The sequence below is a fragment of the Homo sapiens genome, chromosome 2 (genome assembly GCF_000001405.40).
Source record: "Homo sapiens chromosome 2, GRCh38.p14 Primary Assembly".
Classification (NCBI taxonomy): domain Eukaryota; kingdom Metazoa; phylum Chordata; class Mammalia; order Primates; family Hominidae; genus Homo; species Homo sapiens.
The window spans coordinates 41,954,581-41,969,890 of NC_000002.12; the positions used below are offsets into that span (position 1 = coordinate 41,954,581).

The 15,310-nt window shown below is 46.4% G+C and overlaps 6 annotated features.

Annotated features, from left to right (window-relative positions):
- Window positions 1,123-1,172: a silencer, noted in NCBI's record as "silent region_11391". NCBI's record gives its function as "represses an Ori minimal core promoter by ATAC-STARR-seq in GM12878 lymphoblastoid cells {active_cell/tissue: GM12878}" and the evidence as "EXISTENCE:reporter gene assay evidence [ECO:0000049][PMID:35858748]".
- Window positions 1,183-1,262: a silencer, noted in NCBI's record as "silent region_11392". NCBI's record gives its function as "represses an Ori minimal core promoter by ATAC-STARR-seq in GM12878 lymphoblastoid cells {active_cell/tissue: GM12878}" and the evidence as "EXISTENCE:reporter gene assay evidence [ECO:0000049][PMID:35858748]".
- Window positions 8,303-14,080: an enhancer, noted in NCBI's record as "VISTA enhancer hs2553". NCBI's record gives its function as "enhancer in: other[5/8]" and the evidence as "EXISTENCE:transgenic organism evidence [ECO:0001131][PMID:17130149]".
- Window positions 12,342-12,401: an enhancer, noted in NCBI's record as "active region_15629". NCBI's record gives its function as "activates an Ori minimal core promoter by ATAC-STARR-seq in GM12878 lymphoblastoid cells {active_cell/tissue: GM12878}" and the evidence as "EXISTENCE:reporter gene assay evidence [ECO:0000049][PMID:35858748]".
- Window positions 12,512-12,561: an enhancer, noted in NCBI's record as "active region_15630". NCBI's record gives its function as "activates an Ori minimal core promoter by ATAC-STARR-seq in GM12878 lymphoblastoid cells {active_cell/tissue: GM12878}" and the evidence as "EXISTENCE:reporter gene assay evidence [ECO:0000049][PMID:35858748]".
- Window positions 13,409-13,703: a silencer, noted in NCBI's record as "tiled region #7216; K562 Repressive non-DNase unmatched - State 23:Low". NCBI's record gives its function as "represses a minimal TATA promoter and a strong SV40 promoter by Sharpr-MPRA in K562 cells {active_cell/tissue: K562}" and the evidence as "EXISTENCE:reporter gene assay evidence [ECO:0000049][PMID:27701403]".

Below are 15,310 nucleotides of genomic sequence, written 5' to 3' on the forward strand. Positions count from 1 at the left end.
TTTAATTGTGCTTCGTTTCAGAAAATAACTAAACCCAGCGTGGAATAAACTCCAATGCTGATCAGTTTTCAAGAAGTTAACATAAGACAAAATTCTGCTAGAGGGCAGCAGCAATTTGGAATCATTAAAGGGAACCCATGTAAATAATAAAAACAAAACTAAAATGCAGAATTAAATTAAGGAATAGGAAATTAAATTTGGGAATCTAATCTAAAATTGAGGCCTTATATGCACAGGCTTACCCTGGCTTGGCTCTTCGCTCAGGAGTGCTCAGGAGAGGAGGTTCTGCAGAGTTTCCCACGACCAGGGAAGCGGCAGTCCCTCCTGGGTGGCAGTTTGCTGTTCTGGGAAGAGAGATGTGGGCTGAAGTGGGAGAAAGGGGGCTTTCCTCCCACGGGGTCAACTGTGATGAAGATGAAAGCCACATTGTCACAGATGCATCTGGATAGCTCATCCTGAGCCCTGGTGACCGGTTCAGGAGAACTGCCTGCAGCCAAGAGTCCAAGCTGCCACTCACTAGGAGGAAGCACAGGAAATGAGGCAGATGGTGCTGGGTGGCTGCTGGCCTGAGATGCTGGGAGTGGTCAGCCCTGGGCAAAGAAGCCGCGCCAGCCCTCCTTCACCTTTGGGCCCTGGGCACCCTTCCACAGGTGACCCAGCTCAGGACAGAGGCTGAGGGAGTTTCCTCCTGCCCGGGCAGTGGCCCCTAAGCAGGGTCCTGGCCTCCCCACCATCACCGTGAGAGCCCAGTTACAGATGGAGGAGACCCGGACTCCAGCAGCATCATGACAGGTCAGGCCTCCACCAGGCAAAATGAGAAAGGGAGGATGGGAAGGACGGGGTGTGGGGAGGAGGAGAGAGCCAACTTATAAAGTGTCTGCAAGTCAGATGTACAGTCAGGGGCAGAGTTAGCACCATGGCTCAGGCTTCATTATGTATTGATTTTTTAGACCCTGTCCCTGGGGTATTCTTTTTCTCTCCATATTCCTACCTCCTCTGGCTCTCTTCCTCTCTCTCTCCCACCTCCCTCCTCAAAATGAAAAGAGCTCAACCTTCTGAGTCAGACAGACTGATTTGGAGCCACAGTTCTTCCTCTTACTTGGTACTGGAGCTTCAACAAACTATTTTGCCTTCCTTAACCTCAGTTTCCTCATATGCAATGCTAATAATATCTGTCTCCTTGGTTTGTTACAAGGGCTAAATGCAAGAAAGCACTTGGCACAGAGCAGGTACTCAGGCACTTCTGCTTTTTTATTCTCTGTTTCACCAGTGCTTCTTCACATGCCACTCTCTACACACACATGCACACACGTGCACACATATGCACGCACAGGCTCCATCCTCTGCCAAAGGCCTTAGGCTGTGTTTCTAGAGCACCACAAGTAGTTAGAAAAAAAATAGTCCAGTCAATCAAATGCAATCAACTGCTTGCTTTGATTCACAAAGGCAAACATTCAAACAGATGGCCTTATCCCAGTATCAAAGTGAAGTTTTCCATTGCCATTTTCATTTGGAGTTCTACATGGATAAATTAGCCACCTTAAAATAGATCTCTTTTTTGAAAAAAGAAGAGAATACAAACAAGCAAAAAAAGTCTTAACTTGTTCTCATTTAATTCACATTTTGATCAAGAAACTAATGCACAAAATTGAGGCCACAATACTGATTGGTTAGTTAAACAGTGATTGCGTCTAAAACTATCAAAGATGGAGACCACAAGGACAAAAAAGGCTAAGAGTTCTGTCTTGAATTCCCTGGCTACTTTACCTTATCTTACTTTGCTAACTGCCTGCAGAGAGTATGTCAGTCTCTTGCCTGTCCCCTGATTTATACCTGTAAATTGAGGCACTATGAGGCACAACCAATCTCTGTTCTCCCAGAACAAACCCAGAAACCTCAGAGCAGCCACATGGTGTGGATCCAAAATCCATGGAAGATCCACCTTCAGTGTCAATGGAAAGGAAGCAGGAGAGCCACGCCCTGGCCTGAGGCTACCAGGGAGAAGGAAGGGTTACCCTGAAGGTGAGGATCAGGGCCAAGTAAGCCACAAGGTTGGCCTACACTTAGGTCCAGGGGCAAATGCTGGAAAATGACCCCTCAGCCTTTAAAAATTAAAGAAAAAGGCATGCAAATTTCTTAGACACATAAAACTCATAACATAAGACTTATCCAGGGAGCCCACCTGTTGAGGAGCTCAGCTGATGAGGGGTTAATTTCTAGAAGACTGGAGTAAGCGTGGTCAGTTAAACGGTATTATGGACTGCACGTTTCTATCCCCCGAAATTCATATGTTGAAACCCTAATTCGGAATAGGATGATATTAGGAGGTGGGGCGTTTGGGAGGTGATTCAGTTTAAATGAGGTCATGAGGATAGAGCTCCCATGATGGCATTAATGACCTTACAAGAAGAGAAAGAGACTAGAGTCATGTGAGGACACAGAGAAAAGACAGCCATCTGTCTTCTCTCCATGAAGAGGACCCTCACCAGATACCAGATCTGCTGGTGCCTTCATCTTAGACTTTCCAGCTTCCAAAACTGTGAGAAACAAGTGTTTGTTGTTTAAACTACCCAGTTTATGGTATTCTGTTGTAGCAGCCTGAACCGATAATGACAGATGGTTTCTGTATTTCTGATCTTCAATGAAAAACTCTGTTTCCAGAATATGAAACTGCCTGCCTGGGAGGGCTTTTGTGTGGAGGCAGTTCCCCCATCTTACCATGAAACCTGAAGTCATGTCTACCCAACAGAAGAGCTTTCAAGGTGGCTACACCCGAGAGGGAAACTAATTTGTTTCCCTAAAACAACTAAATTCCCTTCTATATGAAGTCCATATAGTTTGAGTTTGTGCAACCCATCCACCCAGGGATCCTTTCCCTGTTGGTAACTCTAATATTATTGCTGATAACACTAGTGAAAATAGTCAACATTCATGGAGAGCTTACTCGATGCCACACATTTGTTCTAAGTACTTCATAAGAATTATTTCATTTAATCCTTGCAACAACCATACGAGGTAGATATTATTATCCCCATTCTATAGATGAGGCAACTGAGGCCCAGAGAAACAGAGCAGCTAGCCCATTATAACAACAAAACACAGCAGCACCGGGGTTTGAATCCAGGCAATGCTCCAGATTCTGGAGTCTCCTAACCACTAAACAGCACTCCCTGTTGGTCACCAGCTCCCCCTGTCCACAAATCTATCTACAGTGACCCTAAATATAGGCCACATGGAAAAGAGAGTTCACCAGGCCTTTGGGAACTCATATCTGGAAAGCAGACTTGTGTTTACAAAATACCTTCCCACAGCTTTTCTCCCCTGGTCCTTGTGGAACATGGTGGCTAGGTCTTCATGGTCATCCTTGCCTTTCAGCAAACGCTGTGTCCTGGGCTCTGTGGGGTGTACGGTATAGAGACAAGACCATGCTTTATTCTGTCTCATGGATTAGCTTCTCACAGCCCATAAGGGCAACACAAGCTTGGCACCCAGCAGAACATTCCTGGAGGAAACAGCCTTGTCAGTGTGCAGGTACTCATTTAAATTCCAGACCCTGGTTTTTAAGACACCGATCTGCAATGGGCATATGTACTGTGATAGATGAAAACAGAAATGGTTTTCCACTGTATCTGTATTATTAGATTTGACCTACTATCGAAAGAGCAAAGAAAGAGTGGAAAATTAAAGGTGATTTGATATTAGCCTCCTATTCATATTAGAAAAAGTGACTGCTCTTGCGGTTTTCCTCACAGAGGTGTCTTTATTCATTTGACATGCCTTTAATAACTAATTCTAGTTGTCTGGTTGCCAGGAAAGATTTCCTACGGGCAGACTTGAAAGTGACTCGGAACTCTTTGCATGCCCGGCTTCAAATGATCCCAGAACAGCAAACATTCAGCTTCCCTCCAGACTTCTGAAGTGTGGGAATAACATGAAAGAATGAACAAGAATCATTCTGCAGCCTGCATATGCTATGAGCAGAGCTGCCTGGCAGAGGTTATGGCTCTGTCTACATGGACCAGGCATAGTGAGATTTGGAAATAATCTCATGCATTTGATCCATGGAGTCAGCCAAACCAAATGATTTATTTCAGGAAAATAAATCTACTTTGGGACCAGAATGGGGTAGGTCAGTCATAAACAGACTGAACTTTCCTCTCTCTGCATAGACCTGGAGTGGGCAGAGAAAGGCTGGGAAAACCACCACAATTGCTCTCATAGGGTCACAACCAAATAACTCATGCTATGAATATGTACACATATTTGCTACAATGGTCATTCATCTACTTACGGCAGGCTAAGTGGACGACATACATACATAAACTAATTCTCACAAGAATCCTACTTATGAGGTAATAGTATCATTATTCCCATTTTACAGATGGGAAAACTGAGCCTCTGAGATGTTCAATAATTTGCCCAGGACTCATAGTTTTGGAAGCAGAAGTTGGCTAGGTGTTCATCAGACATTTCTTTTTTTTCCTCCTGGGTACACAACAAGATGTCACTTTCCCTCCTGTGAAGTTAGATGCAGCCATCTGACTGAATTCTGACCCATAGAAAGTGGATAGAAGTGACATACATTATTTCCAGTTTCTGCCCATACATGATTCTCTCTTTTCCTATTCAGTGACTGAATGGAGAGGATTCTGAGGGCCTAGAAAGGGTAGAACCTGAATATGGAAGAATACAGGATTCTAAACAACTGTTTTCACCAGAGCCCCTTCATCAACCTGCATTGGATGGTGATATGAGCTAGAAATAACCTATTGCGTTAGCCACTGAAATGTGATGATTGCTGGTTCCAGCTGAAAACCTAAACTGATTAATGCAACTCATAAGGTGTTTCCAAACTCAAAAACTCTAACGTTCATGCTCTTAACCTTTTGCTTGTCTGTAACCACACTGGTTCTGATCAACTTATCCCCAGGGGACATTAGGAGATGTCCCCTTTTTTTGAGTACCAGTCTCCTTTCTGCTCTAGAGGTCCTGAGGTGGTGGTGTTTTCGCTTTCTGCTTTCCTACCTACGCAGACACATTTCCGTTGTTGTTGCTTTTTTTTTTTTTTAAGAAAATGTTAAAAGCTACACCTCCTATTTCTTAGTTAGTCTATCCCCGTTGTGGGGCTCTGCATATCCAAGCTGTCTTTGATTTCTCCTCTGCCATGTTATTAGTAACATCTGATCAATTACTTGTGTCTCTCCCATCCTTGCCCTTCACTCTATTTCCCCTTATCGGTCTCACCTGGTTTAATCACAGCACTCTCCAAACTTGCCTCTTCTCCTGCCCATCATCCAAAAGGACCTTCCTAAAACAGACCTGGTCCCATTATCCCCTGAATGAAATTTTTTCATGTAAAGTTTATTATATCATAATGCAAATACCCTTTAATCAAGCAATTCCACTTCTATGAATTTATAGATACATGCACAAAATGATGTACATACAAAGGTATTCACTCCATCATTGTTTGAAGGGGCAAAAGATTGGAAACACCAAATGTCCGTTAATAGAGTCTTATTACATCAACTATAGAATGCAGTGAACTCCACCTAAAAATCTCCAAGATTTATGGTTAAGTATAATGTGCAAGGTACAGGACGGTGTATATAATATACTAATATTGGTGTTTAAAAAGTAACAGGGAGATATATTTTCATATATGTTTACAAAGATATGGAATACCTTTGAAAGAACGCACAAGAAACTGGTAATAACAGCTGCTTCTGGAAAGGGAACTGAGTGACTAGGGCTCAGGGATGAGAAGGAGAAACACTTTTCAGTGAATATACAATTTGTGTTGTTTGAAGACTTCATGCATGTATTAACTTTAAAAAAAAATAAAATAAAACTGTGCTTCCTAGTGCTTCTTTGATGAAATCCGAATCCTGCAGGAAGAAAGAAAAGACTCTTCGAGTTCTGGCTCCAACACGTTTTTTCTGCTTGCTCTCTCACTCGACCACACTGTTCTCTGAACATTCCTGGTACTCCCTCATCTCTATGCCTTTGTTTAGGTCTCTCCCTCCCCTGGAAAGTCCCATCCCTATTCAGCAGAAACTAATCCATGTTATCTCCTTCGTTTTCTTTATAACTCTATATGATGGCCCTTTATCCCAGTTTGCTCTGTACGAGAGATGTGTCTTTCTTTCCTACAAGATGATATGTTGTCTTACACACAGAAAGTGTTCAAAATATGCCTGTGCCTTGAACCAAAGCTATAATTCTACATGTCTCAGCAATAGCTTCTAGAAATGGCTGGGAAGGGGGAAAGGGATGGGCTTACCCTTCCCCACAAAGAAGGAGTCAGATCTGAAATCTATCCCATTAGGTTGGAGGCTGGACTAGGTAAGTAATATATCTCAGCCTGGGACACTGGAACATTCTGCAAGAATGGACCTCCTTCCTCTGGTTCACTCCCAAGGCCACTTCCCCATCCCCAGTCTCTTTGCCCAAAGACCAACAAGTCAATGGTGCCGCTATGCTCAAGACTGAAATTGTCTCTTTGGCATCAGGATGACTGCATGATGCTTTCTGGAGAGAGACATCCATTGCCCTAGACCACAGTCTGGGGTTTAAACTCAGTTGTCACAATTATTTGAAGCCTATTAAGTTTATTTATGTTCCAAAGCAGGTCCACTAGAGAAGGACCATCATAGTCGTAAATATCAGGGCTGCTGTTCTCCAGACCCAGCTGTGCCTCTATGCCCCTCCCCTTCTCAGTGCTACAGGCCCTGCTTACAGACTGGAGCCAGGTGCTCAGATTCGGTAAAGTACCCATGCCCTGTTCAATCAATTCTGCAGGCCCAGCTAGTCAACACACACTTCTACACATTCTGTGCAGCGGGAGTATATTTGAACAAGACTCGGATATCCATGGGAGTGATGGCATCTTCTAGTCCTGTCCATGTTGAATACATAAGGTTCAGGAGTCCACGCTTTTACCTCCAAGACTCATGCGGACCTAAGGACTGGTGCTGAACCCTGGGCAGAGTTAGGAACCCTTCTAATGCAACTAGAATCTTTAAGAAAACAAAGGACTGATTGCATGTCTGCTGAAAGATGCTTTCAGAGTTCTTGGCTGCGTGAGGGTTTCATCATTTTGCCCATCAGTGTGGTTTAAAGGAGACCACTTAATCCCAAGAGCAGTGTTTTCCAAAGCATATCCCATTGTACACTGGTCTTGTAAAATGAGAAAGTAAAGATGATTGTGTAGTCAAAAAGTTTATGAAACACTGGATACTAGATCCTCATCTGGGGAGATTCACAGTGCACTTTGCATATTAGAGGGCCTGAGAAGTCCTGCAATAAAGAAATTTGTTTAACTCAGTGTGATCTAAACATGTTTCACAAAAGAATCATTTTTTGGTGACAGCGATGGGTATCCCTTGATAGCAGTGTTACATTGAGTGCCTTTGGGGAAAGCTGCCTTTAGAAATGTGTGTGTGTGTGTGTGTGTGTGTGTGTGTGTGTGTGTGTGTGTGTGTGTCCCTTACCTGCAGAGCTTCCTGAGGCTTGGTCTAGGGGGAGGAACACTTCTCTACCTTCTGCCTCCCTGTCTTCCAGTTCCCAAGTCTTAAGCTGGCCAACACACCTGCCCAGGTACAGGTGTTCTTCCTTTCTCTGCTGGCTCTTTTTTCTCTGTCCCAGCCCAGGATGTTGGAGGGAGGAAGAGGAAATGTCAGCTTCAACTTCAACCAACTGGCCCATTGCTCACCCACCTGTAGTTTGGCCCACAGTCTGATTTAATATCCACTGTTTCTTGTTTTTAAAGAATGAGACTGAAAAATTACTCTTTACTCTTCTTCCCAAACTGTTCTCCAAGTTTTCTTCTCCCAGGAAGCCTCACCTGTGAGCATGCACTGTTGGTTTAGGGCAGTGGTTGTCAAATTTTGGTCCCTGGATCAGCAGCGAAGCAACAGCATCACCTAGGAACTTGCTAGAATTGCAAATTCTCAGACTCCCACTGAATTAGACACTCTAGAGGTAGAGCCCAGCAATTTTTGTTTTAACAAGCCCTCCAGGTGATTCTGACGCAAACCATTAGCCTAGGGTGTTGGAAATCTCTTTCACTGAGCAGGTTCTATTTTACCTCATTCGTTTTCTGCATATGTTTTTATTTATACCACACCAAATTCCGAAAAGGATGAGGACAACCAATACTGAAATACTTAGGTGCTAGCACAATTAAAACAAGTGTACAAACACTCTTCCTCCCAATAACTGTCTGGCTCACTCCCTCACCTCCTCCAGGTCTCAGACAGGCCCTCCTTGATCATTTCCGAAATGTCAATCTCCTCTCACTGCCCTCCTACTCCCTATCCTCCTCTACTTTATCTTTCTCCTTAGCATTGATTATTATGTAATATCTATACAATTTATACGTTTTTATTTTTTCTCTCCTCCCTTGAATATAAGCTCCATGGGGCAGGGCTTTTCATCTATTTTGTTCCCTACTTCATCCCCAGCACTAGAATGCTTCCTGCTTCAATAAACATTTGTTCAGTAGACAACCCTTATCATAAGGAGGCAGGAGAGGTCTGCTGTGGTGATGAAACAGAATTTTACTCTGAGCTTGCTAGCAGTCAAAGAGTTACAAAGATCTCTTTATCAAATAACAGGAAATCAGAAAGTCCTTTTGGGAAAGACAGAATCAGCCCAGACCCCCATTTTGCCCTGTGTGCTCCCTGGGTGGGTAACAGCTATTTCTGATAATGTCCCTGGGAAGCTCTGTGCTCATCTCAGAGCAGCCTGGAAGCCTCAACCAGCTTCTATCTCCACCGATTCAATCCCAGGGAAGTTTTTCTTTTTTCTCCAGTGAGAAATGGGCAGACTCCTCCCAAAGATGTCCGTGCTGAACTTGTCTCCTGGCAGGACATGCAAAAGGGCACACAAATTACAGGAAAATGTCTGCTTGTTGAATCAGTTTTGTAGGTTAAATACGGTGGGACAGGAGGGAAGGGGCAGGAGAGCGTTCAACCATACTGAGTTCTTTTTTAAACTGCCTGGAAGGGTAGCCCCCACCTGGGGAGAATGTATCTAGCACTGATAAATTTATAAAGTATTTGACCTTTAATCAATCCTAATATTTTCAATCCGCAGAGCCTTCTTAAACGCCTACAGCCCTGCCCCTAGGCCCCTATTCATCACAATTACTGCTCCAACTGTCGGAGGCAGGGCATGAAATGGCGCACGCTGACGTCCAATATTTTATCACTAATAAAGAGAAACATCCCAAGTATTTGCACAGTTCTGATACTTTCCAGCCCCGAGCCCAGGAAAAGGGGGAGTGTGGTGATTTATGCTCACTGCCAGGCATTGTTAATTGGGCTCTGGGCTAGAGGCCCTGGAGCTGCTTTTCTTTGCTTCCCAACCATGAACCAGGATGTGCAGAGAGCAGTGGGTCAGGGGTGTAGGAGAGGCCTGCAGAGCACAGTGTAGGCCCTCACTTGGTATCTGGGAAGTGCTAGAAAACACTAGAAAGGGCAGTTTTTCAAAATCAAGGCTTGGCAAGTGCTTGCCTCCACTGGTGGCTTTGTAAACAGATCCAATGTTTATGAGCAATCTCCTTCCACTTGTTGCCACTGCTGGGCTGCAATCCTCCCCACCTTCCTTGTCGCGCCTTCCTGCCCCTCCCCCACCCCATCCCCAGTCAGGGTCTGGAGTCCAGCCCCATTTCCTTCTCAGTTCAAAGTCCCTCCCTCTCTGCCTCCCTGCTCCAAGCAGAGGGAAGCTCAGTTTCCAGTCACGGCATTCAGACAACCCACAGGCTGCATCTATATGGCACCCAAACATCTGGATGAAATGTAAACAAAACAAGCAGATGTTTCTCTTTCATTACAGCAGGTGCCTCTGCAGTGCCCTCAGCCTGGGGCTGAAAGGGAAGGGCTCCCTCTGGGGTCCAAGATCCCAGAGGGAGTTTGGGAGGGCTGCATACCCTTGACCTATCAAGGAGCTAGTCCCTTGGGTGTCATAGACAGAGATGAGCAAACAAAGCCAGATACTCCTAGGGAAAAGAGGCTGGTAAAACTGACAATGGAGGATGGTGTTTGTGAGGACAGAATGAAAGGTTCAGGAACTGGGGGCAAAAGAAGGAGATGCCAATGGAAATCAGTGGAGGAAGACATTGATTTCAAATCCCTCTCTAATTTCATTATGATGAAGAGTTTCCTGAGCCTCCACATTCCACACCACTGCCTTCTAGGAAAAAAAGCAAGACATGGCCTGCACAAACCTCCGTCTTAGTCCAGGGTCTCCTGTGCAAGAGGAGTTGGGATCCAGAAAGAGAGGATGTCCTGGGGCTTGGATGACCGGGGGTTTCAAAAACAGCACAAACCTCCCCTTTCTCAGGCCATCTTCCACCTAACAGGAGACAAATGGATGCATCACATTGAACTAATAAAGGTGGGTTGAGAGGTTCATGAAAGGGATAATTGAGGAAGGACAGCGGGACAACAGACCATGAAGAACAGAGTGATAACAGCCACAGAGAACCAGAGGCAAAAACAGATGAATTGGTTTCCATTTGCCTTCCCTTCACTCCTGCCAGACCCTCTATCCTGACTCTGTGTGGTCCACTAACATACTCCCCCAGTGCAGTCCCTGAACACTTACCCTGATCCTCTCCTCTGCTCCCCAAGCCCTGTGTGTGACACTCACACTCCCCCAGGTCTCTCCTCTACTCCTCAAACCCCAGGTGCACTGACACACTCTCCAATCCTGTCCCCCACTTCCCTAGCCCCTGGGTGTAACACTCAACACACTCCCAGTCCTGTCCCCCTCCCCCAGTCCTGTGTGACACTGAACACACTCCCCCAGTCTTCTCGCCCATTCCCTAGTCTCTGTGTGTGACACTGAATACACTCAATCATGACCCCTACCTCCCCAGCCTCTAGGTATAATGCTAAACACACTCCTAGTCCTGTTCCTTACTCCCCCAGCCTCTGGGCATTGTGTTAAACACAGTCCTCCAGTCCTCTCCCCCACTCCTCTAGCCCCGCGTGTAACACTGGGCACACTCTTCTGGCCGTCTGCCCTTTCTCAGTCTTGGGTGCAACACTAACACGCCCTCCAGTCCTATCCCCCATGCTCCCAACCCTTGGGTAAGGCACTGCTCCCACACTCAATGGGGAGCCAAGGAACAGTTACACTCCCTTGGCTCCTCCACTGTCTGTCACAACAAACACATTCCTCAGGGCCACCTTCCTTGGTGGCAGCTGTTTTACCCTACTATCTGCAGAAAGACTCTCAGGTCCCTACTGTGATCCTGTGTGCCAGCCCAGCACAACAAGTATTGTGGAGACAAGGGGAGAGAGAGAGAAATGGGAGACAGAGGAGAGAGAGTGGGGATGGCAGCACTGGTGAGGATTGCAGCTCCTCATCCATCCATTGATACTGGATTTTGTGTCAAAGGCAAACATTTTCCTTTGACCTCAGTGTTCCTGTCTGCAACGCTGAGCTGCAATCTGGCATCAAGCACCCTGGGAAAAGGGCTGATTGCCACAGAGAGTTGAGAATTCAAGAACTGGACTCTGGTTAGGACCGGGTCAGACACAACATGGAGAAAGAGGATTATATCTTGGTAGGGAGGTAGCATTTTTGTTTGGTTTTTCTTGCTTTTCTTATGAAACAGGAAGTGCCAAGCAATGCCCCCAGGTTTTGGGGTTTCCAAGTGAAGAATTTTACCCCTGATAACCACAGTAACCCCTGAAAGAAGTGGAGGCTTTCCTTTCATATTTCGGGGGGCTGGGAGGGGCAAGGAGTAGGAATCAGACACAAAGAAAACTGAAGTATGGGTGATCCAATTCCCCTTCCCCCAAGTAGCCTTGCTTTTTAGCTCCATGGGTTAGAAGTTTATGGGAATTCTGGATCCATGGTTTCCTATGGTCTCTTTTACAGATCTTGTTAATTTATTACCCTTGGTTACACTTTTAATGGAAATCATGAAGAAATGGCAAAGGAAACATGAGCTAATTTTTTTTCCAGTGACACATTTCACTGCTATTTAAATAGCTGTTTTGCCAAACCAAACACAGCGCTTACAGCCAGCGGTGACACATGAAGGAGATCACTGTGGCCGATCCTGCCTGCGGCATCCAGAACAGGCGAGACTTTCTCTCAGCTTCCCCAAGGGCCGGACGCCAAGGGGGGCGGGTAGGAGAGCTGGAGCCTGGGGCACAGCTGGAGCCCCAGAGCTGGGTGCGTGCAGCTTCCACCCACCCTGGGCACGGCTGCTTCTCTGTTGCCTCCTGTCCACTCCTTACCCCTGAGGAGCCCTGGGGTAACTGTTTTCTCCCAGCAGCCTGGGGGACCCCCCAGAGTGGGCCACAGCAAGAGCACCAGCAGGGCCTCCTGGCCCTCACTGCAGGATGATCTGCTCAGGCCTTTAGTGGGGAACATTACTGGGTTGCATAAAACCAGAGACAGACTTTGGGGAAGCCCTGGCCATCTCGGTTCCAGTTCTGTGGTGGCGGCAACAGTGGTACTGTGACCACGCTCACACAGGGTGCCTTTGTTAGGCAATCCCAGAGCCTGTGACTTCTCCTCCTCAGAAATGTTGGCCTCTGATGCACTCTTGCTCCCCAACTTGGGGACCGTGATGTCACCAAGCATTTATGAGCTTCTCAAGAAGCCAATTGAGACTTGCGGCATTTGGCGAGAGAAACTCCGGGGCCTGGGATGTTGGAGAAGAGGAAGAGGCCACAATCTGTGGCGATGGCTGGTGCAGGAGGAATGGAGGGGAAACTGTTCACAGCAGCCAAGTCAGAGCCTCCCCAGGGTTAAAAAATGCAGTGGGATTGAGGGAGGCAAAGCGCTTAGGGTCTGACATGAGGGCTGTGGAGACCTTGATTCATTTGTCCAATCTCGGCAGCCCTGTGACAGACAGCCCAGTGGCACCAACATTCTCCCCATGAGCTCTGCTAATGAACAGCAGGAAGGGGCAATCCAAGAAGCAGGCACGAAATGGGGAGAGAATGTTCTGGAGGGAGGAGCCCGAGCCAGCAGGAACTAGGATTTCAGCCCCACCCAGGCCCTGCTGGGTCCTGAACAAGTCTAGCTACTTCTCCAATTCCCCCTCCGTGGGATGCTCTGTGGCCCCCAAAGCCCTCTGCCAGTGTCAAGGTGGCAGAGCCGAGGGGCCATGACAGAATCTGGGCAGCAGGCCTGCTGGCACCCTGGGAGAAACCACTCTCCGTCCTCTGCTTTTCAGGGAGAAAACCCACATTAGCGAGACTGGGGAGAGAAGTTAACTGTCATCTTCCCTTTGCCAAAAATTATATTAAATTCACTGACCACATTTTTCCAAACCCAAGTGCAGAGGACATTAGATCAACGCACACTGGCTGGGCTCTGGTGCGCCGGGCACCCCACACATTTCATTTTGCATTATTAATATTTAAACCAAAGCAGCTGTTTGCACACACAGAGCCCAGAGCCTGCCCAAGACTCCTGTGGAGACTTCTTTCTGGGATCAGACGCACCAGCTAGGAAGCACGTTGTTGACCCTAAGGACTTTGAATTTCCCCAAGCAGACATTCATTGGTCAGCGATGGATGAGATTTCTGGGATATTTCCGAGCAAGGGGAACTGCTGGTTTATTGGCAAGTGCAGATTCTGATGATCTGGCTTCACTGAAATTCCTTGAGGAACTAAGTAGTAGGGCCCACCCGGAGCAGATTTTTGAGAGGGGTGAAAGTATCTCTTTAGGCACCAACCTCCCCTCTGAGCCCTATTCTGCCAAGCATTTTGCACCATAGAGCCTGGAGTCCTCCTCCTGGGCATTTGCAAGTTAAAGCCTCATCTCTAAGCCTGGCTGGGAGACTCTTGCCTGAGTCCTGCCCTGCAACCTGATGCACCACAGCCCCTTCCCAAGCTGCCTCAACTCTCACCTTCAGCCTTGTGCTCCAGCCACCACAGTCTGCTCTGTTTTCCAGACACACTAAATTCTGTCTTTCCACAGACGATCTGCTATTTCTGCTTGCCTTTGAAATCTCAGGACAAAATTCACCTCTTCTCTGCTACCCCCTCTTCCCTCTAGGACAAATTAATTACTCTTCTCTCCTTCCATCATACTTTGTCCCCCTTTATTTTGACATATATCTCAGTACATTGCAAATCTTTGTTTCTATACCTGCACTTTCAGCGCACACCACGCTTTAAATAGAGTATATTATGTAATTCTTTTTTTTTTTTTTTTTTTTTTGAGGTGGAGTCTCATTCTGTCACCCAGGCTGGAGTGCAATGTGCAATGGCGTGATCTCGGCTCACTGCAACCTCTGCTTCCCAGGTTCAAGCGATTCTCCTGCCTCAGCCTTCCGAGTAGCTGGGATTCCAGGTGTGTGCCACCATGCCCGGCTAATTTTTGTATTTTTAGTAGAGACGGGGTTTCACCATGTTGGTCAGGCTAGTCTCGAGTTCCTGACCCCATGATCCTCCCACCTCAGCCTCCCAAAGTGCTAGGATTACAAGTGTGAGCCACCATGCCTGGCATATTTATGTAATTCTTACAACAACCCTCTGACGTAGGTACTATAATTATCCCCATTTTACAGATGACAAATCTGAGACTTGGAGATTCTGAATAGCTTATCTAAGGTTACATAGTTAGAAAGTATCCGTTTTCCCCACCACCCCAAAACTATGAGCTCCTCAAAGAAGGGGTCATTGCCTTATGCATCCAGGGCCTACGTAACATATTGTCTCATTATAAGTGCTCAGTAAGTGTTTGTCAAAATAATTTTCTTTTTTTTTTTTTTGAGAGGGAGTTTCGCTCTCGTAGCCCAGGCTGTAGTGCAGTGGAGCAATCTTGGCTCACTGCAACCTCTGCATCCTGGGTTCAAGTGATTCTCCTCCCTCAGCCTCCCAAGTAGCTGGGATTACAGGCATGTGCCACCACCCCTAGCCAATTGTTGCATTTTTAGTAGAGACAGGGTTTCGCCATGTTGGTCAGGCTGGTTTTGAACTCCTGACCTCAGGTGATCCACCCACTGCAGCCTCCCAAAGTGCTGGGATTACAGGTGTGAGCCACCATGCCCAGCCTCAAAATAAAATTAAATAGAGTAAACGGAAGTATTTTCTCAGGTCGGGACCTGCTGAGATGCCCTCATGTCACCATTTTCTTTAGGCTACAGCCCCAACCCTGGCTCCTGGAGAAAGAGGAGTATAAATGCAGCAGTAAGCCAGACCGGGATTCAAATTCCCATTCCACCTGAATTTAAACTAACCGCGTCTCTGTTTTTCCATTTGCAAACTGGTGAAAATAATAGTACCAACCTTAATTTAATTATTACAATAACCAATTCAGTCCTGCCTG